The sequence below is a fragment of the Homo sapiens genome, chromosome 2, assembly GCF_000001405.40.
Source record: "Homo sapiens chromosome 2, GRCh38.p14 Primary Assembly".
Lineage (NCBI taxonomy): Eukaryota > Metazoa > Chordata > Mammalia > Primates > Hominidae > Homo > Homo sapiens.
This window is the reverse complement of record NC_000002.12, coordinates 149,737,354-149,750,634: the sequence shown is the minus strand read 5'-3', so window position 1 is coordinate 149,750,634 and position 13,281 is coordinate 149,737,354. Positions and strand designations below refer to the sequence as shown.

At 39.0% G+C, this 13,281-nt stretch overlaps 2 long non-coding RNA genes across 2 annotated transcripts in view; one reads left to right on the top strand and one right to left on the bottom strand.

The window, feature by feature from the left end:
• The window catches only part of MMADHC-DT (MMADHC divergent transcript), a 260,877-nt gene that overhangs the window by 97,600 nt on the left and 149,996 nt on the right, over positions 1 to 13,281 (bottom strand). The window contains exon 2 of the long non-coding RNA NR_110240.1: positions 6,876 to 6,917. This is a non-coding gene — a long non-coding RNA (MMADHC divergent transcript). The remainder of the gene's footprint in view (positions 1 to 6,875; positions 6,918 to 13,281) is intronic.
• Positions 918 to 4,987, top strand: LOC105373680 (uncharacterized). The gene is made up of 2 exons (XR_923464.3): positions 918 to 992; positions 4,832 to 4,987. It is a non-coding gene; the product is annotated as an uncharacterized LOC105373680 (long non-coding RNA).

Sequence of the window (13,281 nt, the reverse complement as noted above, 5' to 3'; positions counted from 1 at the left end):
CACTATATGAACATGAGGGTATTATAGAAGAATATTTTATAACAGGTAAAAATCCAAGGCATGTGCAGCTGGCTCCCTTAATTTCCAGATTACTCTATGAGCTTGCCTTTTAGTAAACATGTCCTTTCTGCCTTTTGTATATTCCTGCTCATACCAAAATGCAACAGCAGCACCCATGAACTTGGTCCTCAGTGGGACTTCCATTAGAACATCTTCAAAAGCAGGAGGAAAGCAGGTCTTGTTCTACACATGCCAGAGTATATTCCCACTGTGGCCCTACTACCACTGTTTTTCATCTGTTGGTCTTATAAAACTCTGACAGCAGAGTAAGAAAGGGTTTGAGAAGCAGGTCTTATGAGGACATACATTACCAAGAATGTACCTCCATATTCACTCTGTATATTAGCCCCACAAATCTTCAATAAAGCAACAACATGCTTGATATGCTTGAATTTTTTTGTGGAAGCTGGTGAAGAGGCTAAATTTTGTGGGACCTTAAAAAAGGGTCAGACCACATGTGCCCAAGATATAGTTCCAGGCTTCCCTGATACCAGCTAATGTACACTGAGCATGTCAGGCAAAAGGCAAAGTTATTTCAACCTGTTAGCTCTCCTAATCTTTATAACAACCCTGTGAATTAACTTGAATTGCTACAAATAACATGCCTGAGGCTCAGAGAATGGAGGTAACTCATTCAGCTCCAAAAAACCTAATAATGGGGCCAGGACTCTGACCAAGGTTTGTCTGATTACTGAATTGGAACCTGAATTTCAATTTTAGAGCTCCCCAACCAGTTACCATGCATTGACTATCCATGTACTAGGAGCATCTAAGCAGGGCCTTGGATGGCTGAGCTCCTCTGATATTTCCAAACCAGGCTTTGCTTACAGTGTAAACATTCTCTTTTTTCTTGTTAGTGTCACCAACCTGAGGCTTCTCTGTTGTAACTCAGTTGTCTCAGGAACTTCCATGGTTACTCAGTGTTCTCCCAGGTAAGTAGAAATTCTCCAGCCTGGCATTCAATAACCTCAACAACGTTAGGGAGGTGGAAGAGCATTGGATTTCAAAATCAGGTTTCTGCATCTCAGAGATCAGAGTTGGATTCTGGTTTCCCCACCTGACAGATGTGTGATGTTGAGCTACTTAGTTAACCTTTCAGTGCCACTGATTTATAGTTTTATATAACTCCTAGGCATTTCCTGATTATTAAATGAGAGAGAACATACGCAAGCATTTTACACAATTCCTGGCATAGAATAAAATGCCAAAAACTTTGCTGCCTCTGCTATTATTTTGTCCTATAGACCCACACCTCTTTAAACAAAGCTGGGCAGTTTGCTGGTTATTTATCATGGCTTGTGCTTCTTCATTGTCATAGATTGTATTTGAGGGCAAGTAGTTTATTTGGGAAGTGATCCCAGGAAGCATCCATCAGGAGAACAGAGAAATAAGGCAGAAAAGGGAAGAGAACCAATATAAAGTTAATGAATATTAGCCAGTCTTGGTAACTGAGGTGCAGCCCCACTGAGTGTCTTCAGGACATTGGAATAAACCACACCTTAGAACTGTCCCACCTGCGGGACAAGGAAGCCACTGTTTGTCACTGATTGGGATTGCATTCAGGGGCATCAACTCCCTGATGCCAACAATCTCACCCTGTATGCCCACTGAGCATGCCTCCATAGCCAGAAAAGGCTATCTGGTAGAGTTGCCAAGCTTGCAGCAAGAAGCAACAGGTCCATAGGACAGTAGGAAAACCTTCAGTATCTCCACACCCACTTCTATGCCTTTGTTTTTGCGCTTATTTCTACTTGCAATTCCCTCTTTTCCATCTTTTAAAAAGGCTACTCAAGCCAGGCACAGTGGCTCATGCCTATAATCCCAGCACTTTGGGAGGCCAAGGCGGGCGGATCACCTGAGGTCAGGAGTTCAAGACCAGCCTGGCCAATATGGTGAAACCCCATCTCTACTAAAAATATAACAATTAGCTGGGCGTGGTGGTAGATGCCCATAATCCCAGCTACTCGAGAGGCTGAGGCAGGAGAATTGCTTGAACCTGGGAGGCGGAGGTTGCAGTGAGCTAAGAGCGCCACTGCACTCCAGCCTGGGCAACAAAATGAGACTCCATTCCAAAAAAAAAAAAAAAAGCTTACATAGACATTCTCCCCTCTCTATGAAGACTTTTCTTATCACCCTACAGTGTGGTCTTTTTCATGTTGGAAGTTCTGTGGCTCTTTTTGTATCACACGTTGTAGTCTTTCTTGGATTATGTTTACTTATATGTTGATTTCAACAACTGACTCTTGAGATGAGGGGTCCTCACTTCCCTTTGTTTTCCAGAGCCAAACACAGTACTTTGCCCATAGTAAGTGCTCAATAAATACTTGTTAAACTGTGTTTCACACTGAAAATGATTAAACATAAAATGTACTTATCTTCTCCACTATGCAAGTTTTATACTTTCACCTCCTGGGAAATGTTTGCTGGGACATCTCTTCACCTTCTTTAATAAATTTTGATCTTACATCACATTTAAATGCCTTGGAGTTCCAAAAGACAAATATATCCTCGTGTAATTTAATGGCAATCAGCAGGCTACCTTTTTTCTTATTAATATACAGAAAGCTGGTGGTCACAGCAGGTAACTGATGAGACTAATCTGTCAATGTTCTAATAATTCTCTGCCTGATTGCACCCAGCCCAAGAGCCTGAATAATCACAGAAGCGGCAAGTGATTTGATCAGGACTAGAATAGACCATCGATCATCCTCAAGTGAACTGGGTGTTTGTATAGGATGGGGTTAGCATGATATCTCAAGGAAGCCCTTCAGGCAGAAATCAATGTTGAGAATTCAAAGTGTTATAGGAGAGGCCACAGGAAGCTTCTATGAGATGCAATCCTAGGAGTACTTGGTGTAGCAGAAAGAGAATTGAAGCAATGAGTTATCACACTGTTAATTGGGATGCTAGCCAAAAGCATTCAAAAAGATTTGAGGATTTTAGTGGATGACTCAGCCCTTTGGTTGATTTGGCCTCCATGGTTCTCTTTAGTTTTCTAAATAGTTTGAACTACTTCTAACTCGATGTTAACAAGACAAAAAAGGAAAATCATGTTTCTATTGTGGTGTCAAGAAATAAACAGGTGGCAAGACCTTAGCAGTGATTAAAAGGTACTTCATATTTTTGACAATGAAATGAAAATGCTGCATACATACTAAAACTTTATATTTGATAGTACTCTTATATAAATAGCATTTACACAATTAGGTAGTTCTACTTTGTGGGTGGATATCCCCAAAATTTGGTATACATGCCTCCCCTACTCCAGGCCTTGCCTTCACTCTTTGATTCTTTGGAGTCAATATTGCTCTTAGTTTTAAAAGTTTTAGTAGTCAAGATTCTCCTCTTTCCTATATATTTTGCTGACTGGCTTCTGATATTTAGGGAAGGAGCAGCAAAATAGAAGAAAGGCAAAGGGGCAGAGGAATGTTTATATTTGATTCATGCTGTTGTGTTTATCTAGCGTCAGAGCTTTTAAAATGTGGTAGGTGTTGAAAACCAACTCTCTCCTATGAATTTCACTTATGGTTTCTTTGTAGAACCCGGTTTCTGATGTTCTGTATTTTTGCTGAAGACAAATGATATGTTTGAAAACTATTAAGCCTATAAATGTAAATTTCCCAATCATGTTTGATAGCACAAAATATTATATTAAGGAAAATGTTTTTAGCCAAGTAATGTATATCCCATACAGAATGTTCTTTTTGAGACTAAAGTTTTCCACCTAGTTAGGCAAAGGCAGGTCACCTAGGGCCCCGAACACCAGGGTGAGGAGTCTGCATTTTATTCCAAGAGAGAAGGAAGGATTTGGATGATTTCCAGCCATGGGCCTCATAACCCAATTTACACTTTTAAAAGCTCCCTGTTGGCTGTTAGGTGGGGGACAGGATAATAGAAGGACAAAATGGCAGATAGAAATGTAGTCTTCATAAAAGATGATAGCTATTTGGACATGGTTGCTGCCACCGAGGGACTGGGAATGAATCCCTGCAGGTCCAAAGCTAGAGACATTGTCAGGTCACGAAGTGCATCTCTCACTAAAATCGGTAGGAGTGGGTCCTCACTCAGGCATGTTTCCTGGTTTTCTCTCATCTTCCCTGTTCTGTGCCTTCACAGGGCACATTCTCGCCCATCTCCACACTCTAACCCCTACTCCCTCCCTAGTTGGGATCACCTTGGTCTCCCTTCTGTCTTCAGCAGTCCTAATGTTGGCTACTCAGAAGACAAAAACTTTGGGTATAAAGTCTGCAAACACTGTGCACATAAAATGCCAAGCATCCTTCAACCCAGGAGAAGTAGCCTATAGCTTTAGTGGTGGTTACTACTATTTGGTACCAGCCCCGGGGTTGAAATCATAGGTCCTCTAACTTATTAACTGTGATGTTGAGCAAATTACTAAAATTCTCTGTGCTTCAATTTTCTCCCATGTGAAATAGGAATACTGGTAGTACTTATCTCACACAATTTTTACAAAGATTAAATGGGTTAACGTTTACAAAGTGCTTAGAACTGTACTTAACACATAATAAATGTTACTTGAATGATTGCTGTGGTCGTCATTAGCTACCATTTAGAGCTGTGTGAGGAACAGATAAATAACGCCTGTAAAGCACGTATCATGGGGGGCACACACATAAACAGTAAGCACCCAATTAATGCTAAGCTATTATTACTTTGCTCAAATATGACACACGTGTCAGAAATGACCCGCTGTTTATTTCTTTTTTTTTTTTATTTTTGCCTCTCTTGCTGTTTCTGATTTCTTTTTCAGCCCCTGTGAGGTCACATATGTCTGTGCCCGTGTCTGTGATGAGTATATTTAACCTCAGGGTCAAGACAGAAGATATTGGAAGAGAAGGAGAAGCCACTGGCTCATTTCCCAGTTTTTCCATTTTTATTGAAAAAATAAAAGTATTTCCTGTAAGAACTAGGTACCATATTTTTGAGACTCCAGCTGAGCTTGAATAGTTCATTAATTTTGGCACTCTTACGTGAAATGAAAGCAGTTTTGGAAAGTATGCCTTTATCTGGGTTAATTAGTAAACGAGAACATTGGGACTTTAACACATTTTTTTTTTTTTGCTTCAGCAATTCTTGTAATTGTTTTGCTTAGGTTCATGCTGTATATAAACACATAAAGACAGCTTTATGTATCCATCCTGTGATAAAAGACAACTGGAATATTCATGGTGTTCAAGGGACATTTTGGGGAGGGGAAAGTATAAGGACTGTATTACAGAGAAATTTGAAAGAAACAGAAAAGATGGAGGTTGGGGAAAAAAGATGAAGCTGTCTGAATAAGAAAGGATGTCTTAAAGAATGAACAACAGCAAAAGGAAGCACCATTAACAGCCTGTTCCATTTTGATGTCTGACTACACATATCCCAGCTTCGTTTTTATCATCTTAATGTTTATATCGTTACTGACATCCCTGACTTCTGTAACTTCTGAATGCCTCTTAAGGAATCTCTCCAATTATTTGAGTTTTTTGCAGATATTTAAAAGTATTTGGCTTCAAGGTTATGTTACATGACAGCAAACAAATGCTTAGTCATGCCATGAGTAGTATAAATGCCGGTGCTGCCTGCAGCATACATCAGTTCCAAGCTGATTATTTTTCCCTTCTTGTTTCCACCAATTTGTTACGAGACAACTGTCACTCGATGCCCAGATTGAATGGTATATCATACCCTCTCTTTGGCTCTAGAAAAATTACAGAACCCATTTTCCTGCTGACATCCTCATAGGTTTAATATTTCAGTTTAAACTTCAGGGTAATGTGTAGATGCATTCTTGTAAGTTGTCTAGTGCTGGCTGTGCAGAAGCATGAGATGGACAAGAGGAAGGTTGGAAAGTACCTTAAAAAGACAGACTTTTATAAAACTATATAACGTAATTTAGTCAAAAGTATTTTCCTTACTTCAGGTAATTAATTATCTAGGCTGTCTGGCTAGATGGGGAATTAACAAGCATTTAGCCATGAAATGTGGATCAGATACTTCACATAATTATTTTATCCATTCTTTCTTATAACATTGTAAAGTAAGTATCATTATCCTTTTACAGATAGGAAAACTGAGGTTAAGAGAAGTGAAATAAATAGCCCAAGGGCATGCTGTATGTTAGCGTACTTATAAAATTTATGAAATTGATATTCATGGCAGATGAGTCTAAATCATCTGAGATTATTTTTTGTACCCTTCTTCCTATATGCATGTGATGATCACCAGAGCTAGTCCTGGCCCCAAGCGGCAGGGAGACGGAACATATGTTTTTTAATTAGTATTACTCAGGCCCCTAGAATGTATCACAGAGAAAATGACATCACAGATGCTCCAGTGTGTCATACACTCTGGTTATTTAAGGGTGTGTAATAGAATCCTACTCCAACAGGAATTTGGATGCATATGGCAAAACAATTCCCAGAATTCCTTGTCAGTTCAGTTCAGGATGGAAGAATTCTCCCGCAGGACCCTGGCAATAGGCGTTCTGCCCTGTCTGAGGAATCCTCGAGGATCCTGAAATGGGCTGCCCTTGATCCAGTGTGTCACCATGTCTCCCTAACTCTAACCACCCCAGGAGGTAAAAGAGCTTTCTCCTCTCTATTACACACACACACACACACACACACACATCCTTTCCTTAAACTCTTTTGTGGTTATCACAGTGACTGGTGGGCTCTTCTGGCATTCCCAACCAGAGATGTTAAATGTCCTACAACATGTGGGGCTATCTGCATAAATACAAAGTGCCCCTCCCCAATAACAATGAATCCATGAAGAATTTTCCACCATCCCTTCTTTTTTTCACTTACTTTCAATACTCCCTCTCACAGCAGTTTATTCCATCAGGTTCCCTGTGGGAGAAGAGAGGAAGTAGATTAACATATCACCCCTAAAAGACAACCTCCTGTTCTGGGTTGTGATCTCTTCTGACCCAGGTTCTCCTAGTTTCTTGGCTCGCTGGAAATTCTGTTTTTCAGTCAACCTGCTGAATACTCTTTATTGGCAGCTACTCAGAAGGCCACTGCTTGAAAATTTCAGCCCTTGGGGTTGATTTTTGCTGCCAAAAACAGCAGTTGTTGAAGTCTGCTACATATGACTGGGTCATCCATAAGGGTATTTTTTTTCAATATGAAAAACATTTGTTCTGCCAAAGTCATGCCTACCCCCGGCATGGGGGTTGACAGGATTCCATTTGCTTCTAGCAGGGGAAGAACTGACCTCTATAAATTACATTCTTGAATAATGGCTTTGCCCAGAGAAATCTGGCATTACCCCAGGTCTTTCTCCAGATTCATAAACGCTAAATGAGGTGAAGATTTTGACCTGAGCACCTGGGTGGATGTTATGCTCCTTATTAAGATGTGAAAAACCGCCTGGAAAAAAAATTGTCTAGAGAGAGGAACATCAGGGTTTCAGCTTTGGCCTTGTTAAGTTTGAGATGCCTCTTAGACATCTAAATGGATTTGTCCATATGACAGTTGACGATAGGAGTTAAGATTTTAAGGAGTGGCCAGGGTTAGAGATGTACATTTGGGACAGATAAATAGTTCTAAGTCCTCAGCCTGGTAAAATAACTGCTGTGGTTTGAATGGGTTCCCTTCAAAATTCGTGTTGAAACTCAGTTCCCACTGTGGTGGTATTAAGTGGTGGCACCTTTTGGGAAGTGATTAAGTTGGGAGGACTCTGCCCTCATAATTGAATTAGCGCTTTTTAAAAGGGCTGGGAAGAACCAGCTTAGGCCCTTTTGCCATTTGTCCTTTCATCATATGAGGGCACAACCTTTATCACCTCCAGTGGATGCAGCAATAAGGCACCGTCTTGGAAGCAGGGAATGGGGTCCTTGCCAGACACCAAACCTGACAGCATCTTTATCTTGGACTTCCCAACCTCCAAAACTGTTGAAAATAAATTTCCATTCTTTGTAAATGCCCTAGTCTCAGGTATTTTGTGATAGCAGCGAAATGGATTAAGATAATAAAGAGAAAGAGAGTATAAATTTAGGAAAAAATCATCTTGGATTGGATAGCTCTAACATTTAGAATTGCTCAATATAAAATCATCACTAGGTTCTGAGTCTGGTGAATGGTACTAACAGGCAGATTGTCTAGTTATGATGCTGACACTAATGGTTGGAGTATCAATTTAACTAATCCTATGTTTTTCCCCAACCATAAAATAAAGAGTGAGATATACATGGTTACCTTAAGGTGGTAAGATTATAGATGATTTTTAATTTCTTTCTTGTCCTTTTTTATATTGTTCTAATTCTCTACAATGGACACATGACAATGTTATGAAAAAAATACAGTAAACATTTTAAATAGTAATACCCTATATATTGTTTACAGTGCATCTCAACCATCATAAGAGCATGCACGCCCCATCACATTATGATGTGAACACACACTGTAAAGGTGAACATCTTTTTTGTGATATTCAATGAATTATGTCTACAGGCATTTAAGTGGTTCTAAAAGTCTAGAATAATGATGCTTTGGTAAAAATCATAAGGCCAAGATGTCAGTGTGGCACAGTGTGGCATTTTGGACATAATAGAAGCATATTTATTGAATAAACAAAAGGTCACAGTTAAAAGTCACCCTATAAGAGCCTATTAGTTAGCTTGAGAAGTGGTTTACAAGGATGTTCCTTATGTTTCTGTATACTTTCCAACTCTCCAAATGTGTAAGGAGAGCAAAAATGCAATCAGGGAATTAATTCTTGGCCACAACTCACATTCCAAAGGAAAGAATAACAACAACAAAATACCCAAGCAAAACCATCAAACCACATCCTGGTAAAAACCTTTAATGTGCTGCTAGGGCATCATCTGGTCCCCATCATTACCAGCTGTGACTTGCACACCCGGGAAAGGCCAGACTTCAGCAATAGGAACTAAAATCAAAGGCCCATGATATAGCTTTGAAGTTGAATGTGTTTAGCAGCATTTTTAAGTAAGGTGATGACTAGAGAATTAGAAGAAGTGATGGACAGGGCCAGTATAAGACAAAGTTGCTAGGCAATATTTATAAAAATACGAGGAATCTTTGCAAATCAAGATAGGATAGTAACTTCCAGGTCTATCACAATTAATCTTCCGTTTTTACATTCAGTCAATGTGAATTAGAAGTCTACTTTGAGCAGAGTTACATATGTGTGCTTGGATAGATGAGACAATAAGACTGAAGCACTTTACATAAAATGGAGGAGAATGCTGGGCACGGTGGCTCATGCCTATAATCCCAACACCTTTGGGAAGCTGAGGCAGAAAGATCACTTGAGCCCAGGAGTTCAAGACCAGCTTGGCAACATAGTACGACCTCATCTTTACAAAAAAAAACAAAAAACAAAAATGTTTAAGTAGCTGAGTATGGTGGCGTGTGCCTGTAATGCCAGCTACTCAGGAGACTGAGGTGGGAGGATTGCTGGAGCCTGGGAAGTGGAGGTTGCAGTGAGCTGAGATTGCACTACTGCCCTCCAGTCTGGGTGACAGAGCAAGACTAAATAAATAAATAAAATGGAGAAGAAATTAGTAAATAATCTGAAAATCACATAAGCAAATGTAATCTTAATATCAAGTTATCACCTCTAGAGTACATGATTTCTAGGACATGTATTAAAAGTTCTGCTATAAGAAGCTTATCTTGATTAACTTATTTGATCACACGTTTCCCTGCCTATGAACCATTGTTCTATGGAATGTGCTCTAGGCCTACAATAAAGGCAACATTTTCCTAAATTCTTTATTCATGAAACCCTTTACCCAGAGCATTTCAAAAGAGTTGCATTTCAAAAAAACATACTTGCTAAAATCCTTCCACTAAAGATTAGGCTCATCTAGGATTAATTAGGAAACAGCTTTGGAGAAGCTAGAGCAGAGTTTGGAAACAGAGGTAAATAATGTGGTAGATAAGTGAGTGGAAGGCATGTTAGGCTGAAGGATCATGCCACAGCTTGGAGGCTGAACTCATTTGGCATGGGTGAGAACAATCTACATTCACAGAAGAAACACGAATTCCAAAGTAGGCTTGGTTCAGGGAGTTTTCTCTAAGAATACTGCAGTAGTCCTAGCATATCAGGTAACTGGAAAAGTCAACCAGCACTTTGAATCATAATTACTAAGAAGTCAATGAGAAGAGAGCAGGTAAATCTTGAAGAATCCATTATCCTTATGGATAACACATCACAGAAGATAATTCTTAAATTCGTTTTTTAAAATGTTGTCCTGGATAATTCAAGAGTTGCCATAAATTTTCAATGACCTCAATATTTCAAAGCTAGCATATTTTAAATTCATTTTTATTCATTTGTCTAAGTTTTACTTCTCCCTTGTAAGCTGTATGCTTTACTATAAGATAAATTAACAGTACCATTTAATGCATTTGTTCCTTCTAGAATCCAGAATTATCACCCGTAAGGCAGAAATTCTGCCAATTATAATCCTATCCTCACAAGACATCATCAAAACGCTGATTCATACTGACTAAACAAGCTGCATATTAATTACTCATTTCAATGTCAGCATGTTCATTATATATTGCTCTTTCCAGGGGAAGGAAAGACAAGGAGATGCTAACGCTTCTAGGGCATTTCATTAAAATGCACAACGCAGCAAAAAATAAGTTGCTTTTGCCCTTTAACTGAATTATGAAGAACAAACTTATGAAAATTATATTGGAACTGAAGGCTTTACCATTTAAAGACAACAGCACATTTTCTGTCACTTTTCATACATGTTTTTGGTGGCTCAAATCTACTCGAGTTATGCGATGGTCTCCCCAGTCCATACCACTATATCCTATGCCTCTCGTTGCTCACTGTAAGCCCTGTCTCACTAGAATGGCATGTGCTGGTAATGCCTGGGGTGACAAAGAGAATTGGACATAGTAGAAACTCATCTTGGACTTAGACTGTGTTCACCTGCTGGTCCAATTACAAAGGCTGTTATCAGAGTCGGGTGGGGAGCCTCAGTACATCATAGTAAACCTCAGAGCTGCTCCTGCCCCAGCCTCCTGGACACATGTATAAGCCCAAGAGAGGGAGATAGAGCTGTAATTGCTAATCAAAATAATTATGTTTAGTAAATTGTGTAATCCATCTGTTCCAATTACCCTACCAGAACATAAGACAAAGGGGAAGAGAATCCAGCTGTCTCATTTCCTACCTCTTCCCACTCCCCTGACACAAACCGCAGGCAGGTTGGTTATGATGCCACCTCAGGTCTTCCTTGATGGTGAATCAATCCAGCTGCCAACAGTGCTGAGCAGAGAAACAGGAAAGACTGAAATGGCCATTGGGGGAGCAAGGAGCAGGCGGGCCCAAAATCAGGAAAGCAGATGCAGAGCAATGTCAGGGGGCAGAGCTTACAGAAGAGCAATAAGAGGATCAAACTGAGCAGGGCTGCTGGGTGCCTCCAGGGTGAAACTGCTTGCAAGTACATTTGAGGCACCCTTTAGAGGGCCCCAGAAATGCAGGTGGGTGGTCTGGCAGGGGACCTGAAAGTCCTTTACCAACAAGTAGAAAAGGCTAGCGAAACTAGTGGAATTTGAGCTGTTCTTATTAATGTGACCTCATGTGGTCCTAGCTGATGAGTCCTAGGAGAAATGTGTGGTATATATGAATCTGGGGAGAGCTCCCCTTTCTCTAATATAAAACAGATGTCTGTAAACTAACATTGTAGGAGAATAAATTTGAGCACTCCAAATGGCTAATGAAATATATCAAGTTCCTTTTTTTTTGTTTTAATCTTTTGAGCTTAAGTACAAAGCATAGGGTGTGAGATGATCATGGTAGGCAAGAAAGAAGATGAAAGAAAAGTAGAGAGAAAGAGAAGTAGTTCATGGTTCAATAAACACCTACTGCGTTCTTGGCTCTTTGGTGGATTTTTTGTTCATGGCCATTGTTTTAGCTGATTTTCAAAAGTAAAAAAAAAAAAACGAGTCAAGTATTATTATCATCATTTTACAATGAAGAGATGAGTTTCAGAGATAGGAAGCAACTTGTAAGGGAGACCACACAGTTTCTAAACATTGGAGGTAAAATTTGAATCAAGGTCTATGTGATATCAAAGCCTATGCCTGCACTCCTAAGCATGAGCAAGACAACACTCTGGGGTGCAGAAAGAAAACATTAAAATTCCTATTTAGATTATTTTTGACCTACGCTTTTTGGTAAGATCATTTTAATCCAATGCAGGTAGTGACATACCACATCTGGTTCACAAAATATGCTGAATTAAAAGGGGTTGACAGAAGGATGACAGCATCCTCCTCATTCATTGGTCAGCTTTTATTGTATTATGATGTGCTGTAGTTTATGTGGCCAAGTAAAATCTCTTATATTGAGTTTTTAGCTAACATACCTCAGAGAACAGACTAATGGCTCTAAAATATCCCCCTAAAGAAGCAAGAGATTGATGTAAACACTAATGATGTACACACATGTAAGCGTGTGAGTGTGATCTCTTTGTCAGCCACAAAAACAGAGAAACGATGATGACACAATAGACTCTGACTCAAAGTCAGGCAAAAAAATTCTTTTAATTATCAAGCCTATTTGAGGTATGGGTTGATATTCATTATTTAAACATTGCCTTTGCCTATGTAACATATTTGCATGCACTGTGCTTTTGGAGGTTTTTTTTTTCAGTAATGAATATTATTGAAACCAAGTATATCCACTTAGAAGCCAATCCATGAATCACTGTTTCAAATTTTAAACAAATAATTTCAAAGACAATAAAATATTTGGAATAAATTTAATACTAATAAAGTTTAGTACTAGTAAGTTTAGTATTTTATGCAGAACAAAATGATTGGTCATCAACAAATATAAACCTTTAAAATATTATATATTTCATCTTTGTTCCATTTTGAAACTTTTCTCTTTTGGAATAAAATGGACATAATATAATAATTCAATGAGATACATATGAAATTCATAAAAAATAAATATTTCTATTAAGAATATATGTTCAAAAAATCTGATAGAGTGTGTTATCAAAAAAATTGCTGGCTGCTCCATCATACATCAGAGTGTAGTGAATATGGTGTGGTTATTAAAAGTTATTAATAAGTATTTTTAAGCAAATAAATAGAAGAAAAAGTACTACATAGGTATGAGGTATACCTCATAGAGTAAGAGATGTTTGGAAAACAAAGAGTAGGGGAGACAGCCTTAACTTAATTTTAATAAGAAGGTTGAAGCCACTGGAGG